This window comes from Homo sapiens, chromosome 13, assembly GCF_000001405.40.
Source record: "Homo sapiens chromosome 13, GRCh38.p14 Primary Assembly".
Lineage (NCBI taxonomy): Eukaryota > Metazoa > Chordata > Mammalia > Primates > Hominidae > Homo > Homo sapiens.
In genome coordinates this window covers 19492123-19517388 of record NC_000013.11, presented here as the reverse complement: position 1 = coordinate 19517388, position 25266 = coordinate 19492123, and the positions used below count along the sequence as shown (strand labels likewise).

General features: G+C 39.9%; 1 protein-coding gene across 7 annotated transcripts in view, besides 1 other annotated feature; it reads left to right on the top strand.

Annotated features, from left to right (window-relative positions):
- The window catches only part of TPTE2 (transmembrane phosphoinositide 3-phosphatase and tensin homolog 2), a 138698-nt gene that overhangs the window by 44186 nt on the left and 69246 nt on the right, over positions 1–25266 (top strand). For 6 of the 7 annotated variants that reach the window (NR_073485.2, NR_073487.2, NM_001395978.1 and 3 more), the window contains 3 exons: positions 14112–14165; positions 23888–23941; positions 24486–24539. Coding sequence is in view for 4 of the 7 variants with exons in the window: in NM_001395978.1 (NP_001382907.1) it covers positions 14155–14165; positions 23888–23941; positions 24486–24539 (119 nt within the window). In the remaining 3 variants the exon portion in view is untranslated. Of the gene's footprint in view, positions 1–11450; positions 11643–14111; positions 14166–23887; positions 23942–24485; positions 24540–25266 lie in introns of those variants that run through there. The other variant, NM_001141968.2, reaches the window with a different exon arrangement.
- Positions 9600–9649: a silencer, noted in NCBI's record as "silent region_5137". NCBI's record gives its function as "represses an Ori minimal core promoter by ATAC-STARR-seq in GM12878 lymphoblastoid cells {active_cell/tissue: GM12878}" and the evidence as "EXISTENCE:reporter gene assay evidence [ECO:0000049][PMID:35858748]".

The following is a 25266-nucleotide window of genomic DNA, read 5'->3' as shown; positions in this document are numbered from 1 at the left end:
CAAATAGCAATAACCTTGTTACTTGCCAGGAATTGGGTCAAGATTTGATTTAACAAGCTTGGTTTTGGGAACTAAAAAATGAAAAAAGGAAAAGCCATAATCTTGAAAGGCAACAAGTGAGAAAACTGCTAACAGGATCTTGATTAAATTTCTCCCTCTTAGAGAATGTTGTACCAATAACACAAAACCTCAGACTTGTGTTATTCTGGCAGCCGAACAGACCCCAGGCTCTTCTGACTGGCAGTGGCGCTGGAAGCAGTCTCATCTGTAGGTAAGCAGGTCCAGGGCTTACAGGGAGAAACTCCCAGAAATCCAGCTCTGCCTTGGGTTGCCCTGGTTCACGTCCAAAGATGTGCTTGGGCCACATCTGTGGAGCACAAGGTGGTAGACTGAGAGCTTTGATATTTCTACTCCTACTGCAGATGAGCTGGTATAACTCCGAAGGTATGGAATTTGCTGTTGTCTGTGACCCAGCAAATAAAAATAGAAAAATAATTAGATAGAAAAATAGTAGAAATAGAAAAAATTTAAAAAACAAACCAAGCCTCATTCTATGCCTGTTAATGTCCTTAAAAATACGACATTTTAGGCAGTGTGATAATATGCATATACTGGTCACTTTAATCTTTCCTACAGGGGCGGCTGGTTGCCCTAATGGTGAATGCTCTGTTCAAGGATGGTGAGCTAGTGTTCAGCTCAGGAAGCCACTCCACAGAGATGGCCACCAAAAGGGCCCCAGTGGTCCCATTGCAATTAACACCTGAAACATTGTTAATTATTACAGTGAAGATCACAAATGGGTTTTTATTAGTGAAATTGGTGGCTTACAAAGCAGCATGATGGATGTTACAATTATATGACATTTTAAGATCTGTGAATCAACTAAAGTGTTTTGGAGACAGCCCACCCTTGCATAAACAGGATAAAGGTGTATGGTGGTGGCCTCATATTTAGAGATGACACCCAATGCTTGATCCTCATATGATCCTATCTCCAGGAAGGTTTAAGAAGATTTTGGCCTCTGAAACATTAGGAATCTGTTGAGAATGAAGCTTTCATGCTTGGAGCACCTAAAGTGCAGAAAGCTTGCAGAAGCTTATGTACTGTGCCTGCTTGCTACTGAATGTTTTGTTAAATGAATAACTGTATGTGTGGCAGATTTGGTCGGAGACGTACTTTTCATTATAACCTGGTAGCATGATTATAAAGGTGTAGCTAACCTCCACCTAACTCAAACTTCTGTGGTTGCTCCTATCTACCAAAAAGCATTTAAGAATTCTGCATGACCACTTCAGTTTAGGACAGTTTGCAATTCTCACCTTCCTTAGAGGGCAATTTAGCTAGCTACTTAGTCATGTCCCATGAGGGAAGTCATTCTGTGCCCCAAAGCAGCTTATCAAAGTATTATTTCAGACTTCATGCAATACTCTCCCTGAAAGGAGTTCACATCTATGGATGTCTCATGCCCTTTTTGGAGATTAGTTTCCCAAGGAACTTGCTTAGCAATCCTGGCTTGTCACCTGAATCTGGAGTAATTTGAATGTCTTCCAGTTCTCTTCCTCAGTAGAGGATGTCTGAAAAATCTAGTAATCATTTAATAAGGCTGCTTATGTCAGAAACTCAAATTCTTACCTTTTTGGTGTTTTGAACATTTTCCCTTGTTATGATTTATTCATGTATTCTTCATAAACAATCCAATTATTCATCCTGCTGAAAAGTAGCGGATGCCTATAGATGCCTTTCTTCTTGTAAAAGGTATTGTTTTTCCTGAGACCTGGATGAATTTCCAGGAGCCATTCAAGGACATGAGAACACCCACTTAGAACTTGAAAGGTTCCCCTCATGGCTCTCAGACCAGGCTAACGAGATTTGGTCATTTGAACTCTGGCACTCCTTTCCCCACAGGCTGAAAGATTAGCACAATATTAATGTCTATCTGTGCTTAAAGGTTTGAGCTATTGATCAGAGTCCAAAATTAGTTTGTGTAGGAGAACTTTTCTTAAAGACATAAAAAGATACCATTTAATATATTGTTTCCAAAATGTGTTTCTCACACATTTCCATTGTGAGAAAGAGGTTCTGTGGTCAAATAAGTTAAGAAACCTCAGCACACTCTTAGAGAATCCCAGTTTTTATCAGCAGCAAAAAAATGTATGTGATCAGTTTCTTAAACTTATTTAAACGTTTGAAAAGTTAGAAAATTGTGGCAAAGAGCATTAATTCTTGAGTCTTGGGAGTGTATTACCTTGAGGAGAATGTTTGTGTATTTGAAACTAAAAATATGTATGTTCATATTGCCACATACTGATTTTTATGGCATAATATACGGTGTAGAGAGCAGGTTGTCTAAAAACCAATATTGGCAAAATGCTGAATATTCAGCATGGTTTTATGAAGTTGACAGATGTGGAGTGTATTTTGCATGTGTCTTAACTTACAGATGAAGAAATAAAGTTGCAGAGAGATTAAATTAGCCAAGCCAGGGGTTTCGGTGCTAGGAAGTCTTGATATTGTAAAATATAGCCATATAACTTTAAAAAAATGAATCCAGACAAAAAGAAAACAAAATCATTGTAAACACATAATCCACTTTAAGTTCACAAAATGTTTTAAACATAATTAAGGCTATGCTTGACTTACCTACTTGTTTATTTCCTACCAAGGGTGACCGGGAACTAGCCATTGATATAGAAACATTCATTATTCTTACATTTTCTTTCTTTTTTCTGTGTCCTTTCTCTCTCTCTCTCACACACAGACACACACACACACACACACACACACACACACACACACTCTCAGAAGTACTGGTGCTGTATCCTGAAATTGTTTCTTTAGTTCTTGTCAAAATTCCTCCGATTTTATTTTTTGTGTCCTGAAATACTGTTGAGATTAACATCCTGATTGCCTTCCAAAATATCTGACTTTATTTTTTGTATGGGCTTTTTACTCTTTGGTAGAGTTATGGATTCACTAACAGATTCTACTATATGCTCTGACAACTATGACCACAATGGGTGAGTTGACTGATCTAAGTGGTGAAAAATACTGGGAGCATCAATGGCAATAACAGCTTTCAATCAGAGACTTTAAGCATCTTTGGTAACATTGTTTTTGAACCAGAGTGGAGAAAATAAGATCAGGTCAGAAGAGGGATGCTTGGTACTCAAAGATTGTTTGTGACCCCAAGTAATTAGCAGCCAAAACCTTAGGAAACTATCAGAATGCCTGTGTATGATACTCTCTCAAGAGTGGTCCAAGAGAGGAGAGAATCCTGCTTGGAGAAAGAAGGTGGTAGCATTGGACAGGCAGCAAAGGAGCCCTCAGCAGCAAGAAAGGAGCTAAGAGACCCTGTATCTGTCCCTCACCCTTCAGAGCTGGTGCCCCAAACTCAAAGCCATCATCACATTGGATGGAGCCCCTGCCTCAGGTTTAGTCACTTGATCCTATTTGAGGGGAAGCAAAGATATCTGTGACTCATGAAGAGCATGAAGGTGGTGGAGGGACTTGATAATTAGGAAATCAAAATGGGCAAGAATAACGTGTGCCTACAAATGGGAATGAATTTGAAGCAAATTTAAGTTAAATTTGCTGCCACACATGATCTGGTTCAGTAATAAAGAATTGTATTTAAATCCTGATTCATTAAACTTTTTTGAGAGTCCTAAACAATTTTTATTACCAACACATAAAGACTTCTTTCCAGAGAAAAATGAAGTACCAGGTGCCAAATAATAGATTTACATGAGAATTTTTAGGGACAACACATTGTAATTTGTAGCGCAATCATAGCCAATTTGAACAACAACAACAAAAAAAGTCGTGTATGCATTTATGTTGTTTCTTGCTATTTACCTTTCAATCCTTTGCACTGACCCCAATGAATTGACATCAGAAATCTGTGCTGGAGTCAACAATGAAAGGTGATGACATAATAGATACTGGAGATGGGAGGAATTCAGGTTTGTGAAATTCAGTCTCAGAATTATTCATGGGAAAATAGTTTTCTGGACACTGATTCTAAAATTCTTTCTAAAAAGTTAGGTCTTAAGTAAGCTAAGTCATATTTACCATATCTTTTAGATTCAAGGAATTTTGTTGTTCAAATAAATTGGTCATATCACCACTCCATGTGGCAAATCTCTAATATATTTTTGCATTTGATGTTTGAAGTAAAATACAGCAACCTTACATAGAGCTTTATAATAAGCTTCATGTGTTCAAATATAATTGGTACTTTTATAACCGATGCTGTGTGTGTTATACTCAGAAAGTTATTTCTTATCGTAAGATTACCAATATAGTCACCAAAATTTTTTTTATAGTTTGAATTAATTTTCTACATTTAAATAAAACAAGCGCTGCTGCTGTTGTTACTATTCCCTTTTAACATCTCCCCAAATTAGTGTTTTATTCTGTACACTTTATGAGATGCCAGCTTAACAATACCCTTAATATGGCCCAAGGATTCTACAAAAGGAAATGCTGGTGTGTTTGTCAAAAGTGTTTTCTGGCTGGGCATGGTGGCTGAAGCCTGTAATCCCAGCACTTTGGGAGGCTGAGGCAGGTGGACCACGAGGTCAGGAGTTCAAGACCAGCCTAGCCAATATGGTAAAACCCTGTCTCTACTAAAAATACAAAAATTAGCTGGGCATGGTGGTGCATGCCTGTAGTCCCAGCTACTCGGGAGGCTGAGGCAGAAGGATCACTTGAATCCAGGAGGCAGAGGTTGCAGTGAGCTGAGACAGCGCCACTGCACTGCAGCCTGGACAACAGAGCAAAACTCTGTCTCAAAAAAAAAAAAATGTTTCCTGTGCAGATTATCTATTCACCACTTGCAGATTTGAAGTTTACTAAGCATGTGTGATATCTAAAAGTTCATTTGAAGAATAAGTTTCAATGCCAAAAATGTTTAAAAGTGGGATATAGGAAGATGATGTAAAGATGGAATCTCCCAACATTTCCATTTTCACCAGGAGGACTTAATAGAATGTCTAACAGCTACTTTTAGATATTTTTGAAGTGTGAGAGGGGTGAGTTAGTTAACAAAAAGTAGACTATGAGATTAAAATGTCTATTCACTCTAAAATCTCAGCATTCACTTTCTTATTGTCAAGTTATTCATCAGACTCTTTTCAGAGACAACCTAAATGCAAGCTCTTAGAATATTACAACGTCTTTTATATGAGATGACAGGAAATAATTTCATGGCCTTTTAAAGGGTAGATGAGGGATTTGAATACCACTTTCAGATTAAGTAACTCCTCTATTGAATATTACACTGTTTTATGGTTCATATCTCTATTGTGGTTGAGAGGTATTGCCAGATTTATTCACTAACAAGTAAATATTATTCAGTTTCTAATTAATATCCACTTTGGGGGGAGATACTTTCAGTCTATGTTAGAACTATCTTCAATGTTCAGTATCCTGTTCCACATAAAACTTTCATGCACTAGTTTTAGCATTCATTGATTTTTATGTGAATCAGTTTAACTGTGATCATTACAAAATGGTGATTTTTTTTTTAAAAAAAGTGGTTTTTCTGTGTTTAATAAGTATCATTCTATTATAAGGAGAGCTATTCCTACCCCTATTTATTCACTATTACTATGAACTTATAAATTCTTACATTATTTCAATGAATTACAATCCTTCCTGTCATTATTTATTTTGATGTTTAAAAGGTCCCATATTTGGCCAGTGGGACCCCCTAAAAGCTAGCCCCTGTGTTCCTTTGGCTTGACATGTTCCCATCACTTTTTGAGCATTTCCCCAGCCCTGGAATCAGCCGTTTACCCAAAGAACCTGATGCCCTTTAGAAACCAATATTCTGCATTTGGTATGCTCATTGCCATTGGCTCATTGCTACTTGTAGGCCTTTTTAATACCTAGATGAGAGTACAGATATACATATTGACATATACAGATATATGCATATATGCAACAATTTTCATATGTTTAATATACAGTATATACATTTATATGTGTTCTGTAAACTATGTATTGTTGTTTTGCCTATATGTTTTTAAATTTACTTAAATGGTATTAAGTTGTATCTCATTTTGTTAGTTTTTTGCTTAGTAACATAAGATTATTCTTCTTGTGCATACCTTTTGTTGTTGCTTTTAACTGGTATGAAAAATTCCACAGCATGCATCCCCTAGTGAGGAACACATATATTGCTTCCTACCATTTGCCTTCGCAAAGACTGCCGCCAAATTATTATCCTTATGCCAGACCCCTATAGACCTGTTTGAGTAGTTCTGTAGGAATATGAAACAGGACTTGATGGGCCATGAGACTGCACATTTTAAATTTGACTGAATACTGCCTATTGCTCTCCCAATGGTTACACCAGTCTGCATCTCATCAGTAATGCATGATGGTTCCTACACATACACATTCACAACAACACTTGACATAATCAAACTTTCCAATTTATATAATCAATCTAATAGATGGTAACATATTGCATTATGTTTTACTTTGAATTTATGTGATAACTTATGAATTTGAGCATCATTTTATGTTCTTATAGCATTTGGGATTTCTTCTGTAATGGTCCATTCATGAACTTAGCCCATTTTTCCACTAGTGTTCCTGTCTTTGTCTTGTTAATTTACATGTGTTGTTTTTGAATATTTTATATTTTAGAATAAGTTCATCAAATTTCTTTTAAAATTATGTTTAATTTTCAAAGTGATTATGTTACATTTGTAAACAATATAGCAAGAATTCACTCTTTTTAGTAACATTAAAAACGTGGTGCTATTGTTTGGAGGTTTGTACCCCCAAACCGCATGTTGAAATTTGATCCCCAATGTTGGAGGTGGGGCCTAATGGAAGGTGTTTGGAAGATGAATAGATTAATTCCCTCCCTGGGAGTGAGGGTGAGTGAGTACTCAGTCTATTAGTTCTTGCAAGAGCTGTTGGTTTAAAAAGAGACCAGTGGCTTCCCCCACCTTGCTTTCCCTCTTGCCATTTGATCTCTGCACGTGTCAGTTCCCCTTCGTCTATCTTCCACCATAAATGGGAGCAGCCTCAGAAGCAGATGTTGGCATCAGGCTTCTTGTGCAGCACACAACTGTGAGCCAAATAAACCTCTTTTCTTTATAAATTACCCAGCCTCAGGTATCCCTTATGGCAACACTAAACAGACTCAGATGCATGGAATCCCATTCAAAAGTTTGGACTATCGCTTTATGTATTCAAATCATCCTTCATGTCAGTTTTAGACATTGAAGTTATGTTCTCCAATAGGTCATCTGCCTGTTAGCTTTGGCATTGTTGTTCTTCATTCTCTTCATGACAGAACTTTTTGCCTTATTATTTTACTTTTGAAGTTTGAAATTTTCCCACTTTCAGTCTACAAAGGTAATTTCTAATCCTCATAGTTTTAATTTACACATTTAATGCTTTTAATCTACTTAGAGTTTACCCTTAAATATGGTGTTAGGTAGGGATTTGGTTTCATTTTTCTCCCAATGGTAGGCTGATTTTCCAAATACCACCTATGAAACAGTTCATCCTTTTTCCTTGTTTATATAATCATCATCAATGACATATATCTACATAGGTTTATCTCTGAGCTCAATATTTTGCTCCATTGATACTTATGGCATCCCTACACCTTTTTTTATTACCACAATTAGTTATTAATGGAGCCTTTATATGTTGACATAGATTTTGTAGTAAGTATGTCAATATTCTAAAAAATTTTGAAAAATACCTATGTGGGCCCTGTGGTGTTTGGGAGAGGGAAAGCCTTTAAATACTAGGTTGATTTCTTTGTTACTTGAGTATTCTATTTCTATATAAATATATTTTCTTGCACTAATGTTAGTGTTTTATATTTGTCTAGGAATTTTTCCATTCCATCCAAGTTTTCACATTTATTAACATATAATTGAATAATCTCATTTTAAAAACTTTTAGTTGTGTTATAGTTATGCTCCCTTCTTGTACATTGTATTTGGATATTCACTCTGTTTGTTCTTGATTATTATTGCCACAGGTCTATTGTAGTAATCTTTTCAAAGAGACACACTTTTGTTTTGTTAATCTTCTCCACGGTTTTTTCTTCTCCAGTTCAGTGACTTATGCTTACCTCCTTATGTTTTGCTTCCTTATTACTCCATAGACTTTGCCCTGTGCTTCTTTTCCAACCTTTCTACTTAAATGTGTACTCTTTGCTTTTAACCATCTTGACTTCTTATTAATGCTTATATATCAGTAAATTTTCTTCTAAATATTGCTTCATTGTATCCTACAAACTTTGTCATGTTATTATCAATCAGTTCTTAGTATTTAAAATATTTCGTGATTTCCCTTTTAACATAAGAGGTATTCAGTAATGTATAATTTAGTTTCAAATGTGGGTTTTTTTAAAAAAGCTAATCATATTACAATATATTCAGAGAACAGCAATATGATATTGATCCTGTGGACTTTATCCTGTGGAAGCTTTCTTTATGGTACGGAGAGCTATGATGTTGGTCTGTCCTTGTGCCCTCATAGGTCTTTTGCTCTTTCTAGAAGGTGTTAGAATTTTCTCTTTGTCTCCATTAGATACTTAAAGCTGATTTATTTCTTCTTTCTTGAATTCTGGGAAATTTATCATCATAAATTTTCACATTTTGCAGTTTTAGTTTTCATTTCTTCTTAGATTTCCATATTCTAGATGTTAGATAGCTGTTTTTATCCTCCATAACATTCTTCTTTTCTTTAGTATGTTCTCTTTATTCTTTTCTACTATTTTCTGGGTAAGTTCCTCAATTTTCTCAATCTAACCTTCTAACTCTAAATTAATTAGCTTTTCACATGTATCCAAACTACTATTTATCCCTCAACAATTTATATTTTTTGACAGTCATACTTTTACAGTTAAGGCTTTCTCTTTTATTTTTTCTTACAACTCCCATTCTCATTTCATGTTTCAACATCTTCCTTTGTGTCCTCTTATCCTTAAGAATATTTGTCATGCTTACTTTAAAATCTTGGTCAGTGTGTTCCAGTAGTTTTGCTACAGTTGGTATGCTGTTGTTCAGCTTGTTGTATTTCTTTTTCAGTAGTTGTATTCCTCAGGTATCTAATCATGTTGGTTTGTGAACTCAGATTTTGTGTGGTTGTTGGCTACTCTGTCTGGTCATTTGTACTGGAGAAGGACTGAAGGACAAAGTCTGCTGCTGTTCTTGCAACATAATTATTAATAGCACCCACTTTTTCCTTTCAAAAGTGTCCTGGTTTGGGCAGGAATTATATAGTCAGTCTCACTGAAATCTAGGACGTAAGCCGTGTCATTGTCAGTAAGTTTAAAATGAAGAGAAGTGATGTGCCCCAGGGTAGAGAGTCTCAGGAACCATGAAACACTGACCAGGCAACTCCTCTGGGTTGTGAAAAGGAAAAACTTTAGACAAGGTAAATTTAACAGAGTTTAATAGTGCAAGAATGATTCGTGAGTTGGGAAGCTTTTAGAACGAGAACAAGTTCTGAGAACTGCAAGCTGGCAAAAGCTGGCAATGTGGCCAGACAGCATTATGGACAGAAAACGGAAGTGAGGTCCAGAAACAGCTTTGTTGGTTACAACTGGGTACAGCTGGATGTTTCGTCTTATTTGAATCAGTCAGCCACCCGCAATTGACTGAAGCTCAGCTGCTGTAATTGACTGAGACACAGCTATCTGTTACAAGTGTATATTCTATTCATAATCATGCTGTTAGTTTACACACTGGGTTAGCTTGCAGTTTGTTGCATAAGGACTCAAGCACAGAGGCAACCTCAGGGAAAATTTCGTTTAATTAAACAACTATATCACCCTGAAGCTCCTGAACAAAGCAGCATTGGAGGAGACAATCTCTCTGGTTTGTAACCTGGACTTTGGAGATGGAGGCAGGTGGAGGAGTGAAGGCCCAAGGATGGCTCTTCAGCCCTTCCCTGTTTTCATCAGCCAGCCTAATGCTCTCCTAATTTTACTGTAACTACTCCTGGGTAGTTGCTGTTGTTGTCTATGGAGACAGGCAGGGATGGTCACTATTGTTTCCAAATGGCTAAATTGCATGTGTTTTTTTTTTTTTTTTTTTTTAGAACAGCTAGTTTATTAGTTGTAGGGTTATTGTAGCTAATTTGAATAAAAATTAAGCCTACAAATTCACATGGTATTTGATTATGTACAATTTAGTTTAATTCTTTAGCTCTGACCCAAATGAAGTGATATCACTATCCCATGATGGAGTCCTCAGTGATAGTGAAATGATATCACTAGCCTATAATGGAGTCATCAGCAAAAGGTGTTGTGTGTGTGTATGTTCATAAAGATACACGCAAATGTTAAATATAGACTTTCTTGGACACTGTTTCTAAAGTACTGGTAGTTTCAGCTTCTGTATGTAACATCCTTTTCTTTTTGGGTCTAGTTGGATACAAGATAAATAGATCACAAGAAGTCTACTTCTTCTTCCTAGCTGAGTTGACTAGTAGCCAAAACTTTTAGAAAACTGTTGGATTGCCTGTGTATGAGATTCTACCAGGTTGGGCTATATTAGTTTCTAGGGCTGCTTTAACAAAGTATCACAAACCAAGTGGCTTAAACAAAAATTAATCATCTCATAGTCCTAGAGACTAGAAATCTGAAATTGAGGTTGTCAGTAGGGTTGGCTTTTTATGAAGGCTATAAGGAAGAATCTGCTTGATACCTCTTTGCTAGCTTTTGCTGGTTGTTGGCAATCTTTGGCATTCCTTGGCAGGTAGACTCATGTCTAGAGTAACTGCAGCTATTTGACCAAAAGTGTAAGTCCAAATTATGTTTGTATCTGAATAATATGCTTTTATAATTCCTCAGCCCACAGCCAATTGAGTTGATGGTAGTAACCTATGAGAGAGCCACCCATGAAATGTGAGTTAAAAACAAAGATTTAGGCCAGGTGCGGTGGCTCACGCCTGTAATCCCAGCACTTTGGGAGGCCAAGGCGGGCGGATCACGAGGTCAGGAGATCGAGACCATCCCGGCTAAAACGGTGAAACCCCGTCTCTACTAAAAATACAAAAAAAATTAGCCGGGCGTAGTGGCGGGCGCCTGTAGTCCCAGCTACTTGGGAGGCTGAGGCAGGAGAATGGCGTGAACCTGGGAGGTGGAGCTTGCAGTGAGCCGAGATCCCGCCACTGCACTCCAGCCTGGGCGACAGAGCGAGACTCCGTCTCAAAAAAAAAAAAAAAAAAAAAAAAAAAAAGATTTATATACACGTAAGTGTATATATACATATATACACATAACATACACTCATGCATACACATACACACACAGAAACATAAAACAATGACAGAGAAAGAGAAGCTGATATTTGTAAAATTCACTGTCAGGCATATCCTTGGAAATACAGAGTATCTTTGACACTATGTCTAAATCTTCTCACTGTAGGATCTATAGATAACCTTCTATTTTTTTTTTTCAGACCAAATTGGATAAAAGAGGACGAAGTCATGAAAGGGATGCTTCTTCCTCTTAGTATATTTGTCACTCTAAGTTGGTGGTATCCAATCCCTTAGGAACGAACCTCTGAGGTTTTCCATTTATGAGACTCTCCTACTACTAGAGTGGGCCAAAGGGAGAGAGAATCCTATTTGGAGCAATGAGGAGGTAACAGGTAACAGGGAGGAGTGAAGCACTCAGCAAAAAGAACAGAGTTCATGAAACCTTAATGGGTTCCTCACCCTCTAGAGTTCTACCACCATGTGAGGCTGGTGCCCCAAACGAAACCCAAACCCACAATCATTTTGTAGGGAGTTCTGACTCAGGGCTACAGCTACATGGTCATATCTTCTGGGCAGGAAAGACAGCCATGATGGGTGAAAGTAAAGAAGTGACAGAAGGACTTAGGAATCAAGAATTTAGATGGGGTAAGAGGCATGTTTCCTTACAGACTGCAGTTACATTAGAAATAAATGCCACTGGCCAGGCATGGTGACTCATATCTGTAATCCCAGCACTTTGGGAGGCCAAGACAGCTAGATCACTTGAGGCCAGGAATTTGAGACCAGCCTGACCAACATGTCAAAACTCTGTCTCTACTAAAAATACAAAAATTCGCCAGGTGTGGTGGTGCATGCCTGTAATCCCATCTACTCAGGAGGCTGAGGAAGGAGAATTGCTTGAACCTGGGAGGTGGAGGTTGCAGTGAGCCAAGATCGCATCACTGCACTCCAGCCTCGATGAGAGTGAGAATCCGCCTAAAAAAAAGGATACATCTAGTTTGAATTAGTGATATACACATGAATATTTAAATATCAACCAGATAGTACATTATAGAGTAACTGTAGCTGTTTGATCCAAAAAGTAAGTTTAGAATTATATGTGTGTCCAACTATCTACTTTTATATTCCTTTAGCCTGCATACAGAATTGACATCAATGACCTGTGATAGAACCACCAATGAAATGTGAATTATAAAATATGTGTACACAAATATGTAAAGAAATGTATGTGCAGATATACTACTTCTGTCTATCTAGACACACAAACACAGGGAGAGAGAGAAAGGGAGAGAAAGAGAAAAGAGAGAGAGAAACAACAGAAAGAGGGATGAAGATTATGTGCTTTACTCTCAGGATCATCCATGGCCATACAGAATGTCTTTTACACCATTTATAAATCTCCTCACTATAGGCCCTGCAGGTCTCTTATCCAACTTTTTGATTAAATTGGATAAAAAAGGAACAGGGCAAAAAAGGGAAACTTCTTGTTATTGTCTTGTCACCCTTAGTAGCAGGCACATACTTAGGAAAGTCAGATTTCCTGTGTATGAGACATACTAGAGTGGACCAAGGGAAGAAAACCCTATGCAGAGCAACAAGCGAGTAGCAGTGGACAGGGAGCAGTGGAGCCCTCGGGGAAAAAAAACAGAGCTAATGGCCCTGGCAGGGTTCCTCACACCCAGAGCTCTACCACCATGTGAGGCTAACACTACAAGCCCACACCCATCATCACATTGTATGGGGCAGTTTCTTGACCCTGTGTGAGAGCAGAGAAGACACCCATGATGGTGAAAAGAAGGCACTGATGAAGGGATTTTAGTGTCAGGAAATGAGATGAGGTCAAGGGGATTTGTACATAGAAACTGCAGCTGAATTTGAAATAAACCACCAAATGCTTAGTTTGTGCTTCCTTCAATTGTAAAGAACTAAACATCGCTTGTGAGTAATTCAAACCAGAAAGTGAAGTCTAGGATGTCATATTGGTGTTGGACGATACATATATATATTTAAATTCTGTAGCGCTGCCAAGTCTAAATTCAAATCAGTACCCTGGAGTGGAGCTATCAGTGAACTGTGAGACATAAATAAATCAATATAGAGGCCGGGCGTGGTGGCTCATGCCTGTAATCCCAGCACTTTGGGAGGCCGAGGCGGGTGGATCACGAGATCAGGAGATCGAGCCCATCCTGGCTAACACGGTGAAACCCCATCTCTACTAAAAATACAAAAAATTAGCCGGGCGTGGTGGCGGGCGCCTGTAGTCCCAGGTACTCAGGAGGCTGAGGCAGGAGAATGGCGTGAACCCGGGAGGCAGAACTCCTCAGGAGAAGAGAAAAAAGCTAACAACCCTAGAAATGTTTTTGACCCTGCAGAACTCTGCCACAATATAGGGTGGTACTCCAAACCCCAAATACCATCATATTGGATTGTGTCCTTGACTCAGACCTGCAGTTACTTTACCCTACTTGTGGACCAAGAGAGACAATCAAATGAAGAAGTAATGGAGGGCTTTCAAGGCAGCACATTTAGTGGAATAAGAGGGCTGACTACCTCCACACAAAAGTTTAGTTTGAAATAACTGCCACCACAAAGGCTGTCACGCATTGGGACTGAGGTCATAATAAAGAGGTTTATTTAAATCTGAAAGTATTACTATTTTCCCCAGCCTAAGATGTTGGTTGCCATCTTGTTGGTTGCCTCCTTTCTAATAAAAAAATGACATTTCAGACCAAATAGTGCTATACACATGAATAGTCAAAACTTAACTGGTTTATGTGCAGAGTAATGAAAGCTAGTTTTACGAGAAAAGTAAATTTTGAATTGTGTCTCCTGTCTGACTGTATTCTTTTGTCATCCTCTAGTCCACCCACAAATGAATTATCAGGAGTGAACCCAGAGGCACGTATGAATGAAAGGTGAGTTATGCATACATGTGTCTTTATTTATCTAATTATAACTGAGCATAGAAGTATTCACACACACAGGCACATAAACAAATATATCCATCCATGCATCCATGCATCCATCCATACACACTTCTCCCAAACACATCCACTAACCCATGCACACAGTGGAAACATACAAGGAGACAGATGGACGGACATTTGTGGAGTTTATTCTGAGAAGCTTTTAACAGGGTTTCCAATTCTTTTCAATGTAGCCTTTGTAGGTAACATTGCATCCTTTTCTAATGGAGTCATAGGAAAAGGAGCAGGTCACAGGAGGGCTGCTGCTTCCTGTTAGTGTATTTGTCACCCTTAGTTCCTAGTAAGCAGCTTCTTTTTTTTTTTTTGGCTTCAACAAGAGAGATTTATTTTTATTTTTATTTTTATTTTTTAAAATTATACTTTAAGTTTTAGGGTACATGTGCACATTGTGCAGGTTAGTTACATATGTATACATGTGCCATGCTGGTGCGCTGCACCCACTAACTCATCATCTAGCATTAGGTATATCTCCCAGTGCTATCCCTCCCCCCTCCCCCTACCCCACAACAGTCCCCAGAGTGTGATATTCCCCTTCCTGTGTCCATGTGATCTCATTGTTCAATTCCCACCTATGAGTGAGAATATGTGGTGTTTGGTTTTTTGTTCTTGCGATAGTTTACTGAGAATGATGTTTTCCAATTTCATCCATGTCCCTACAAAGGACATGAACTCATCATTTTTTATGGCTGCATAGTATTCCATGGTGTATATGTGCCACATTTTCTTAATCCAGTCTATCACTGTTGGACATTTGGGTTGGTTCCAAGTCTCTGCTATTGTGAATAATGCCACAATAAATATACGTGTGCATGTGTCTTTATAGCAGCATGATTGATAGTCCTTTGGGTATATACCCAGTAATGGGATGGCTGGGTCAAATGGTATTTCCAGTTCTAGATCCCTGAGGAATCGCCACACTGACTTCCACAATGGTTGAACTAGTTTACAGTCCCACCAACAGTGTAAAAGTGTTCCTATTTCTCCACGTCCTCTCCAGCACCTGTTGTTTCCTGACTTTTTAATGATACCATCTCACACCAGTTAGAATGGCAATCTCATAGTGGTTTTGATTTGCATTTCTCTGATGGCCAGTGATGATGAGCATTTTTTCATGTGTTTTTTGGCTGCATAAATGTCTTCTTTTGAGAAGTGTCTGTTCATGTCCTTCGCCCACTTTTTGATGGGGTTGTTTATTTTTTTCTTGTAAATTTGTTTGAGTTCATTGTAGATTCTGGATATTAGCCCTTTATCAGATGAGTAGGTTGCGAAAATTTTCTCCCATTTTGTAGGTTGCCTGTTCACTCTGATGATAGTTTCTTTTGCTGTGCAGAAGCTCTTTAATTAGATCCCATTTGTCAATTTTGGCTTTTCTTGCCATTGCTTTTGGTGTTTTAGACATGAAGTCCTTGCCCATGCCTATGTCCTGAATGGTAATGCCTAGGTTTTCTTCTAGGGTTTTTATGGTTTTAGGTCTAATGTTTAAGTCTTTAATCCATCTTGAATTGATTTTTGTATAAGGTGTAAGGAAGGGATCCAGTTTCTGCTTTCTACTTATGGCTAGCCAGTTTTCCCAGCACCATTTATTAAATAGGGAATCCTTTCCCCATTGCTTGTTTTTCTCAGGTTTGTCAAAGATCAGATAGTTGTAGATATGCGGCATTATTTCTGACGGCTCTGTTCTGTTCCATTGATCTATATCTCTGTTTTGGTGCCAGTACCATGCTGTTTTGGTTACTGTAGCCTTGTAGTATAGTTTGAAGTCAGGTAGTGTGATGCCTCCAGCTTTGTTCTTTTGGCTTAGGATTGACTTGGCGATGTGGGCTCTTTTTTGGTTCCATATGAACTTTAAAGTAGTTTTTTCCAATTCTGTGAAGAAAGGCATTGGTAGCTTGATGGGGATGGCATTGAATCTGTAAATTACCTTGGGCAGTATGGCCATTTTCACGATATTGATTCTTCCTACCCATGAGCATGGAATGTTCTTCCATTTGTTTGTATCCTCTTTTATTTCCTTGAGCAGTGGTTTGTAGTTCTCCTTGAAGAGGTCCTTCACATCCCTTGTAAGTTGGATTCCTAGGTATTTTATTCTCTTTGAAGCAATTGTGAATGGGAGTTCACTCATGATTTGGCTCTCTGTTTGTCTGTTGTTGGTGTATAAGAATGCTTGTGATTTTTGTACATTGATTTTGCATCCTGAGACTTTGCTGAAGTTGCTTATCAGCTTAAGGAGATTTTGGGCTGAGACAATGGGGTTTTCTAGATATACAATCATGTCATCTGCAAACAGGGACAATTTGACTTCCTCTTTTCCTACTTGAATACCCTTTATTTCCTTCTCCTGCCTAATTGCCCTGGCCAGAACTTCCAACACTATGTTGAATAGGAGTGGTGAGAGAGGGCATCCCTGTCTTGTGCCAGTTTTCAAAGGGAATGCTTCCAGTTTTTGCCCATTCAGTATGATATTGGCTGTGGGTTTGTCATAAATAGCTCTTATTATTTTGAAATACATCCCATCAATACCTAATTTATTGAGAGTTTTTACCATGAAGGGATGTTGAATTTTGTCAAAGGCTTTTTCTGCATCTATTGAGATAATCATGTGGTTTTTGTCTTTGGCTCTGTTTATATGCTGGATGACATTTATTGATTTGCGTATATTGAACCAGCCTTGCATCCCAGGGATGAAGCCCACTTGATCATGGTGGATAAGCTTTTTGATGTGCTGCTGGATTCGGTTTGCCAGTATTGTATTGAGGATTTTTGCATCAATGTTCATCAAGGATATTGGTCTAAAATTCTCTTTTTTTGTTGTGTCTCTGCCTGGCTTTGGTATCAGAATGATGCTGGCCTCATAAAATGAGTTAGGGAGGATTCCCTCTTTTTCTATTGATTGGAATAGTTTCAGAAGGAATGGTACCAGTTCCTCCTTGTACCTCTGGTAGAATTCAGCTGTGAATCCATCTGGTCCTGGACTCTTTTTGGTTGGTAAACTATTGATTATTGCCACAATTTCAGATCCTGTTATTGGTCTATTCAGAGACTCAACTTCTTCCTGGTTTAGTCTTGGGAGAGTGTATGTGTCGAGGAATTTATCCATTTCTTCTAGATTTTCTAGTTTATTTGCGTAGAGGTGTTTGTAGTATTCTCTGATGGTAGTTTGTATTTCTGTGGGATTGGTGGTGATATCCCCTTTATCATTTTTTATTGCGTTTAATAGATTCTTCTCTCTTTTTTTCTTTATTAGTCTTGCTAGTGGTCTATCAATTTTGTTGATCCTTTCAAAAATCCAGCTCCTGGATTCATTAATTTTTTGAAGGGTTTTTTGTGTCTCTATTTCCTTCAGCTCTGCTCTGATTTTAGTTATTTCTTGCCTTCTGCTAGCTTTTGAATGTGTTTGCTCTTGCTTTTCTAGTTCTTTTAATTGTGATGTTAGGGTGTCAATTTTGGATCTTTCCTGCTTTCTCTTGTGGGCATTTAGTGCTATAAATTTCCCTCTACACACTGCTTTGAATGCGTCCCAGAGATTCTGGTATGTTGTGTCTTTGTTCTCATTGGTTTCAAAGAACATCTTTATTTCTGCCTTCATTTCGTTATATACCCAGTAGTCATTCAGGAGCAGGTTGTTCAGTTTCCATGTAGTTGAGTGGTTTTGAGTGAGATTCTTAATCCTGAGTTCTAGTTTGATTGCACTGTGGTCTGAGAGATAGTTTGTTATAATTTCTGTTCTTTTACATTTGCTGAGGAGAGCTTTACTTCCAAGTATGTGGTCAATTTTGGAATAGGTGTGGTGTGGTGCTGAGAAGAATGTATATTCTGTTGATTTGGGGTGGAGAGTTCTGTAGATGTCTATTAGGTCTGCTTGGTGCAGAGCTGAGTTCAATTCCTGGGTATCGTTGTTGACTTTCTGTCTCGTTGATCTGTCTAATGTTGACAGTGGGGTGTTAAAGTGTCCCATTATTAATGTGTGGGAGTCTAAGTGTCTTTGTAGGTCACTCAGGACTTGCTTTATGAGTCTTGGTGCTCCTGTATTGGGTGCATATATATTTAGGATAGTTAGCTCTTCTTGTTGAATTGATCCCTTTACCATTATGTAATGGCCTTCTTTGTCTCTTTTGATCTTTGTTGGTTTAAAGTCTGTTTTATCAGAGACTAGTATTGCAACCCCTGCCTTTTTTTGTTTTCCATTTGCTTGGTAGATCTTCCTCCATCCTTTTATTTTGAGCCTATGTGTGTCTCTGCATGTGAGATGGGTTTTCTGAATACAGCACACTGATGGGTCTTGACTCTTTATCCAATTTGCCAGTCTGTGTCTTTTGATTGGAGCATTTAGTCCATTTACATTTAAAGTTAATATTGTTATGTGTGAATTTGATCCTGTCATTATGATGTTAGCTGGTTTTTTTGCGCGTTAGTTGATGCAGTTTCTTCCTAGTCTCGATGGTCTTTACGTTTTGGCATGATTTTGCAGTGGCTGGTACCGGTTGTTCCTTTCCATATTTAGCGCTTCCTTCAGGAGCTCTTTTAGGGTAAGCCTGGTGGTGACAAAATCTCTCAGCATTTGCTTGTCTGTAAAGTATTTTATTTCTCCTTCGCTTATGAAGCTTAGTTTGGCTGGATATGAAATTCTGGGTTGAAAATTCTTTTCTTTAAGAATGTTGAATATTGGCCCCCACTCTCTTCTGGCTTGTAGGGTTTCTGCCGAGAGATCTGCTGTTAGTCTGATGGGCTTCTGTTTGAGGGTAACCCGACCTTTCTTTCTGGCTGCCCTGAACATTTTTTCCTTCATTTCAACTTTGGTGAATCTGACAATTATGTGTCTTGGAGTTGCTCTTCTCGAGGAGTATCTTTGTGGCGTTCTCTGTATTTCCTGAATCTGAACGTTGGCCTGCCTTGCTAGATTGGGGAAGTTCTCCTGGATAATATCCTGCAGTGTTTTTTCCAACTTGGTTCCATTCTCCCCATCACTTTCAGGCACACCAATGAGACGTAGATTTGGTCTTTTCATAGTCCCATATTTCTTGGAGGCTTTGCTCATTTCTTTTTATTCTTTTTTCTCTAAACTTCCCTTCTCGCTTCATTTCATTCATTTCATCTTCCATTGCTGATACCCTTTCTTCCAGTTGATCGCATCGGCTCCTGAGGCTTCTGCATTCTTCACGTAGTTCTCGAGCCTTGGTTTTCAGCTCCGTCAGCTCCTTTAAGCACTTCTCTGTATTGGTTATTCTAGTTATACCTTCTTCTAAATTTTTTTCAAAGTTTTCAACTTCTTTGCCTTTGGTTTGAATGTCCTCCCGTAGCTCAGAGTAATTTGATCGTCTGAAGCCTTCTTCTCTCAGCTTGTCAAAGTCATTCTCCATCCAGCTTTGTTCCGTTGCTGGTGAGGAACTGCGTTCCTTTGGAGGAGGAGAGGCGCTCTGCTTTCTAGAGTTTCCAGTTTTTCTGTTCTGTTTTTTCCCCATCTTTGTGGTTTTATCTACTTTTGGTCTTTGATCATGGTGATGTACAGATGGGTTTTTGGTGTGGATGTCCTTTCTGTTTGTTAGTTTTCTTTCTAACAGACAGGACCCTCAGCTGCAGGTCTGTTGGAATACCCTGCCATGTGAGGTGTCAGTGTGCCCCTGCTGGGGGGTGCCTCCCAGTTAGGCTGCTCAGGGGTCAGGGGTCAGGGACCCACTTGAGGAGGCAGTCTGCCCGTTCTCAGATCTCCAGCTGCGTGCTGGGAGAACCACTGCTCTCTTCAAAGCTGTCAGACAGGGACATTTAAGTCTGCAGAGGTTACTGCTGTCTTTTTGTTTGTCTGTGCCCTGCCCCCAGAGGTGGAGCCTACAGAGGCAGGCAGGCCTCCTTGAGCTGTGGTGGGCTCCGCCCAGTTCGAGCTTCCTGGCTGCTTTGTTTACCTAATCAAGCCTGGGCAATGTCGGGCGCCCCTCCCCCAGCCTCGCTGCCGCCTTGCAGTTTGATCTCAGACTGCTGTGCTAGCAATCAGCGAGACTCCGTGGGCGTAGGACCCTCCAAGACAGGTGCGGGATATAATCTCGCGGTGCACCGTTTTTTAAGCCCCTCAGAAAAGCGCAATATTCGGGTGGGAGTGACCCGATTTTCCAGGTGCCGTCTGTCACCCCTTTCTTTGACTCGGAAAGGGAACTCCCTGACCCCTTGCACTTCCCAAGTGAGGCAATGCCTCGCCCTGCTTCGGCTCGCGCACGGTGCGCGCACCCACTGACCTGCGCCCACTGTCTGGCACTCCCTAGTGAGATGAACCCAGTACCTCAGATGGAAATGCAGAAATCACTGTCTTCCGCGTCGCTCACGCTGGGAGCTGTAGACCGGAGCTGTTCCTGTTCGGCCATCTTGGCTCCTCCTCCGAGATTTCGCAGCTTCTTAAAGGACTCAGATTTCCTGAGTTTGAGAGCGTACCAGATTGACAGAAGGGAGGAGAAAATCCTATTTGCAATATGGAGGAGATAGCAGCTGACAAGGAGCAGGGAAGCCCTGGGCAGAAAAGAACAGAGCTAATGGAACATGGACTTGTCCCTCACACTTCAGAGCTCTGTCAACATATGAGGTTGGTGCTAAAACACAAACACAAGCACAGCACCTCATTGGATGCAGACCTTCCTTAGACCCACAGCTACTAGCCTGTGTCCCATGGACAGGAAAGACTAGCATGATGGGTGAAAGGAAAGACGTGATGGAGAGATCCAGGAAGTGGGCCATAGTTGGGATTAGGAGGAGGAATGCCTACACAGTAGAGTTGAATTTAAAAGAAATTCACCCACAAAAGGCTGTCGTGCATTGGCCAGCTCCAGTGGTAGAGAGTTTTGGTGAACTCTTGAGTCAGTGAGTCTTAGATAGGTGTGAAGTATGTGTTGCAGTCATATAAAGTATGATGTGTAGGGTAAATGGCATGGCAGATTCCAAAGAACCAAATACACACATGACTTCTGTAAGGGTAAGGCAATTTACAGGTTGAAAAGTAGTTGGAAGGTCGGGTGCGGTGGCTCAGGCCTGTAGTCCCAGCACTTTGGGAGGCCAGGGTGGGTGGATAACGAGATCAGTAGTTCAAGGCCAGCCTGGCCAACATGGTGAAACCCCATCTCTACTAAAAATACAAAATTAGCTGGGTGTGGTGGCGGGCACCTGTAGTCCCTGCTAGTTGGGAGGCTGAGGCAGGAGAATTGCTTGAACCTGGGAGGCAGAGGTTGCAGTGAGCTGAGATCATGCCACTGCACTCCAGCTTGGGTGACAGAGTGAGACTCTGTCTCAAAAAACAAACAACAGCAACAAACAACAACAACAAAAAAAACAAAACAAAAGCAATTGGAATTATTTTGAACTGAAAATCTTAAGTCTAGGAAGTTACATGTTGTCTTACTATGTACATGTTAAGTTCTTTGGCAGTGCCCTGTGTATGAATTGAGAGTATCTTCTAGTAGGCTGGTCAATGCACCATGCGATATCAAGGAATACAGTTATACATGTATCTATGCATATACAAACACATACATACATGCATTCATACACACAAGAGAGAGTTGGGCTATTGAGTGTGACAAGCATCCATGGGAACAAGGAGTTCCCTTGAAACTATTTCTAGAGTCCTCTCAGAATGAGCTTTGTATGCAATGTTCTTTTGTTTTTTGGATGGAGGTAGGAAAATGGGGAGGAACTCACAGAGGGAGGCTTTTTATGTTAGTGTTTGTCACATTACCATTCAGTGAGAATGAGACTGTGCTAGTAGTGTGGACCAAGGGAGAAGCGAATCCTGCTTGCAGCGAGAAGGAGATAGGAGTGGACAAAGATCAGAAAAATCCCAGCCAAAACAAAGAACAGAGCTAATAACCCTGGAATTATTTCACCCCCTCCAGAGCTCTGCCTTTATGTGAGGCTGACTGCCTTTGCCCATACCCACCCTCACATGGGATGGAGCCCTTGCTTGAGGCCTCCAGCTACTTGGCCGCAACTTTTGGGCAGGAAAGACAACTAGGATGGGTGAAAAGTGAGGAGGTGATTGGAGGTGATAGAGAATGAGGAACTCAGATGGGATTATACGAAGCGGGACTTAGAAAGTAAATTTGAACTAGAATTAAATGCTCTCCAAAAATGCTGTTACACATTGAGGTGTAGATACCCTTACTTAATCTGGATGCATCACTATGTTCACAGCCTAAAATGCTCACTGTTGGCATAGGAAACCTCATTTCTAATAAAAAGACAAATGCCATCCCAGGTCAATTTAGTGATATACGTACATGTGAATAATTAAAGTGTAACTAGGGAATGACACATAGACTAACTGTAGCTATTTATTGCAAAACATTAGAATTACGCATTGTGTCTGACTCTGCCCATATTTGTCCTTTAGTCCTGATCCGAATGCCCTGGCGGGAGTCATCATTGAGAGAGCCCCCAGTGACAGGTGAATTATAAAAGATGTACACATGGCCAGGTGCAATGGTTCACACCTGTAATCTGAGCACTTTGGAAGGCTGAAGCAGGCAGATGCCCTGAGATCAGGTGTTCAAGACCAGGCTGGCAAACATCGTGAAACCCTGTCTCTACTAAAACTACAAGAACTAGCCAGGTGTGGTGGCAGGTGCCTCTAATCCCAGCTCCTCAGGAGGGTGAGGCAGGAGAATCGATTGAACCTTGGGAAGTGGAGTTTGCAGTGAGCTGAGAACATGCCGCTGCATTCCACCCTGGGCAGCAGGAGCGAAACTTTGTTGCAAAAAAGAAAAAAAAGAAAAAACAAAAGATGTACACACACACACAAAACAGTGACAGAGAAAGAGACCGAGATTAGTGGGATTCACTCTTAGATGTGTTCACGATAATACAGTGTTTCTTTGACACAGGTTCTTTATCATCTCACTGTATCGTGTATAAATAACTTCCACATTTTAACATTGTTTAGAAAAAAAGAAACTGACTATAGAGAGAGGCTTCCATCTGTTACTGTCTTGTCGCCCTTAGTAAGTAGCAGGCAAATGCTTTGGAAAAGCAGATTTTCTGTGTACCAGACATAGCAGAGTAGGCTGAGGGAAGAGAGAATCCTGTTTGGAGTGAGGAGGAAGTAGGAGTACTTGGGGAACTGTGCAGCCTTCAGCAGAAAGCAACAGAGCTAAGAGCCTTGGAGGTGTTCTCCACCCTCCAGAACTCTGCCACCACGGAGGCAGGTGCTCCAAACCTCAAATCCTATTGGATTGTGCCCCTGTGTCAGACCTCTAGTTACCTGACCCTTTTTGTGGGGCATGAGAAACCACCATGCTGGGTGAATGTAAGGAGCTAATGGAGGGCCTTTTAAGCAGGACATTGAATGGAATAAGAGGGCTGCCTACCTACAAACTGGAGTTGAGTTTGAAATAATTGCCACCAGAAAATCTGTCACACATTGGGACTGAGGTCATAATAAAGAGGTTTACTTAAATCGGGAAGCATTACAATTTTCCCCAGCCTAAGATTTTGGTTGTCGTCATATACATCCTCATTTCTAATAAAGAAAAATAGACATTCCAGGTTCCAATAGTGCTGTATACATGAATAGTCAGAAATTAATTGGTTTCTGTCTAGAGTAATGAAAGGTAATTTTTCCAAAATATAAATTCAGAATTATGTCTCCTCTCTGACTGTATTCTCTTATCATCCGCTAGTCCACAGACAAACGAATTTAAAGGAACAACCGAGGAGGCACCTGCGAAAGAAAGGTAAGTAATAAATAGTTAAATAAAGTCACCCGTCAGCATAAGTGTGCATAGAACTATACACACACACAGGCATATGAGCAAATATATCCATCCATCCATCCATCCATCCATCCATCCATCCATCCATCCACACTTCTCTTCAACACGCGTACACAAACTAATCCATGCACATGATGGAAACATAGACCAAGGAGAAAGGAGACTGATGGAGGTTTGTGAAATTTACTCTCAGGAGCCTGCATGGCCATAGAGATTTTTTTTTTTTTTGTAACAGAGTTTCCAATTCGTCTCATTGTAGCATTTGTTAGTAACTTTGCATCCTTCTTTGGTGGAGTTGTATAAAAAGGAGCAGGTCATAGGAGAGTTGCTTCTTCCTGTTAGTGTAATTGCCACCCTTAGTTCCTACTAAGCAGTATTTTTATGGGACTCAGATTTCTGACAGAAATTAATTGGTTTCTGTCTAGAGTAATAAAAGCTAATTTTCCAAAAAAGTAAATTTAGAATCGTGTCTCCTATCTGACTGTATTCTTTTATCATCCTCTAGCCCACACACAAGTGAATTTAAAGGAGCAGCCCTGGTGTCACCTATCAGTAAAAGGTGAGTTATAAATACATGAAGACACACGTATGCATAAGAGTGCATAGAGCTGTACACACACCAAGCACATACACAAATATATCCATCCATCTTCATCCATACACACTTTTGTCAACACATTTACACAAACAAACCCATGCACAAAGTGGAAACACCAAACACGGAGACAGATGGACATTTGTGGAATTTACTCTCAGGAGCCTTCATGGCCATACAGAGTATTTTTTAACAAGGTTTCCAATTCTTCTCATTGTAGCATTTGCAGGTAACTTTGCATCCTTTTTTGAAGGAGTTGTATAAGGAGGTCAGTTCGTAGGAGAGCTGCTTCTTCCTGTTAGTGTATTTGTCACCCTCAATTTCTAGTAGGTAATTTTTTAAGGGATTCAGGTTTCCTGAGTTTGAGACCCTACCATAGTGTTCCAAGAAAGGAGAGAATCCTATTTGCAACATGGATGAGATAGCAGCCAATAAGGAGTAGTGAAGCCCTGGGAAAAAAAGAACAGAGCTAATGGAACGTGGACTTGTCCCACACCCTCGAGAGCTCTGTCCACATGTGAGGTTGGTGCCTAGACCCAACCCAAACCCACCACCTCATTGGATGCCGCTTTCCTCAGGTGCGCGGGTACTTCACTGTGTCTCATGGGCAGGAGAGACTAGCATGATCAGTGAAAGGAAGGAGATGGTGGAGGGTTTTCCCAGTCATGTGAAAACCTCTCCTGGAAATAAA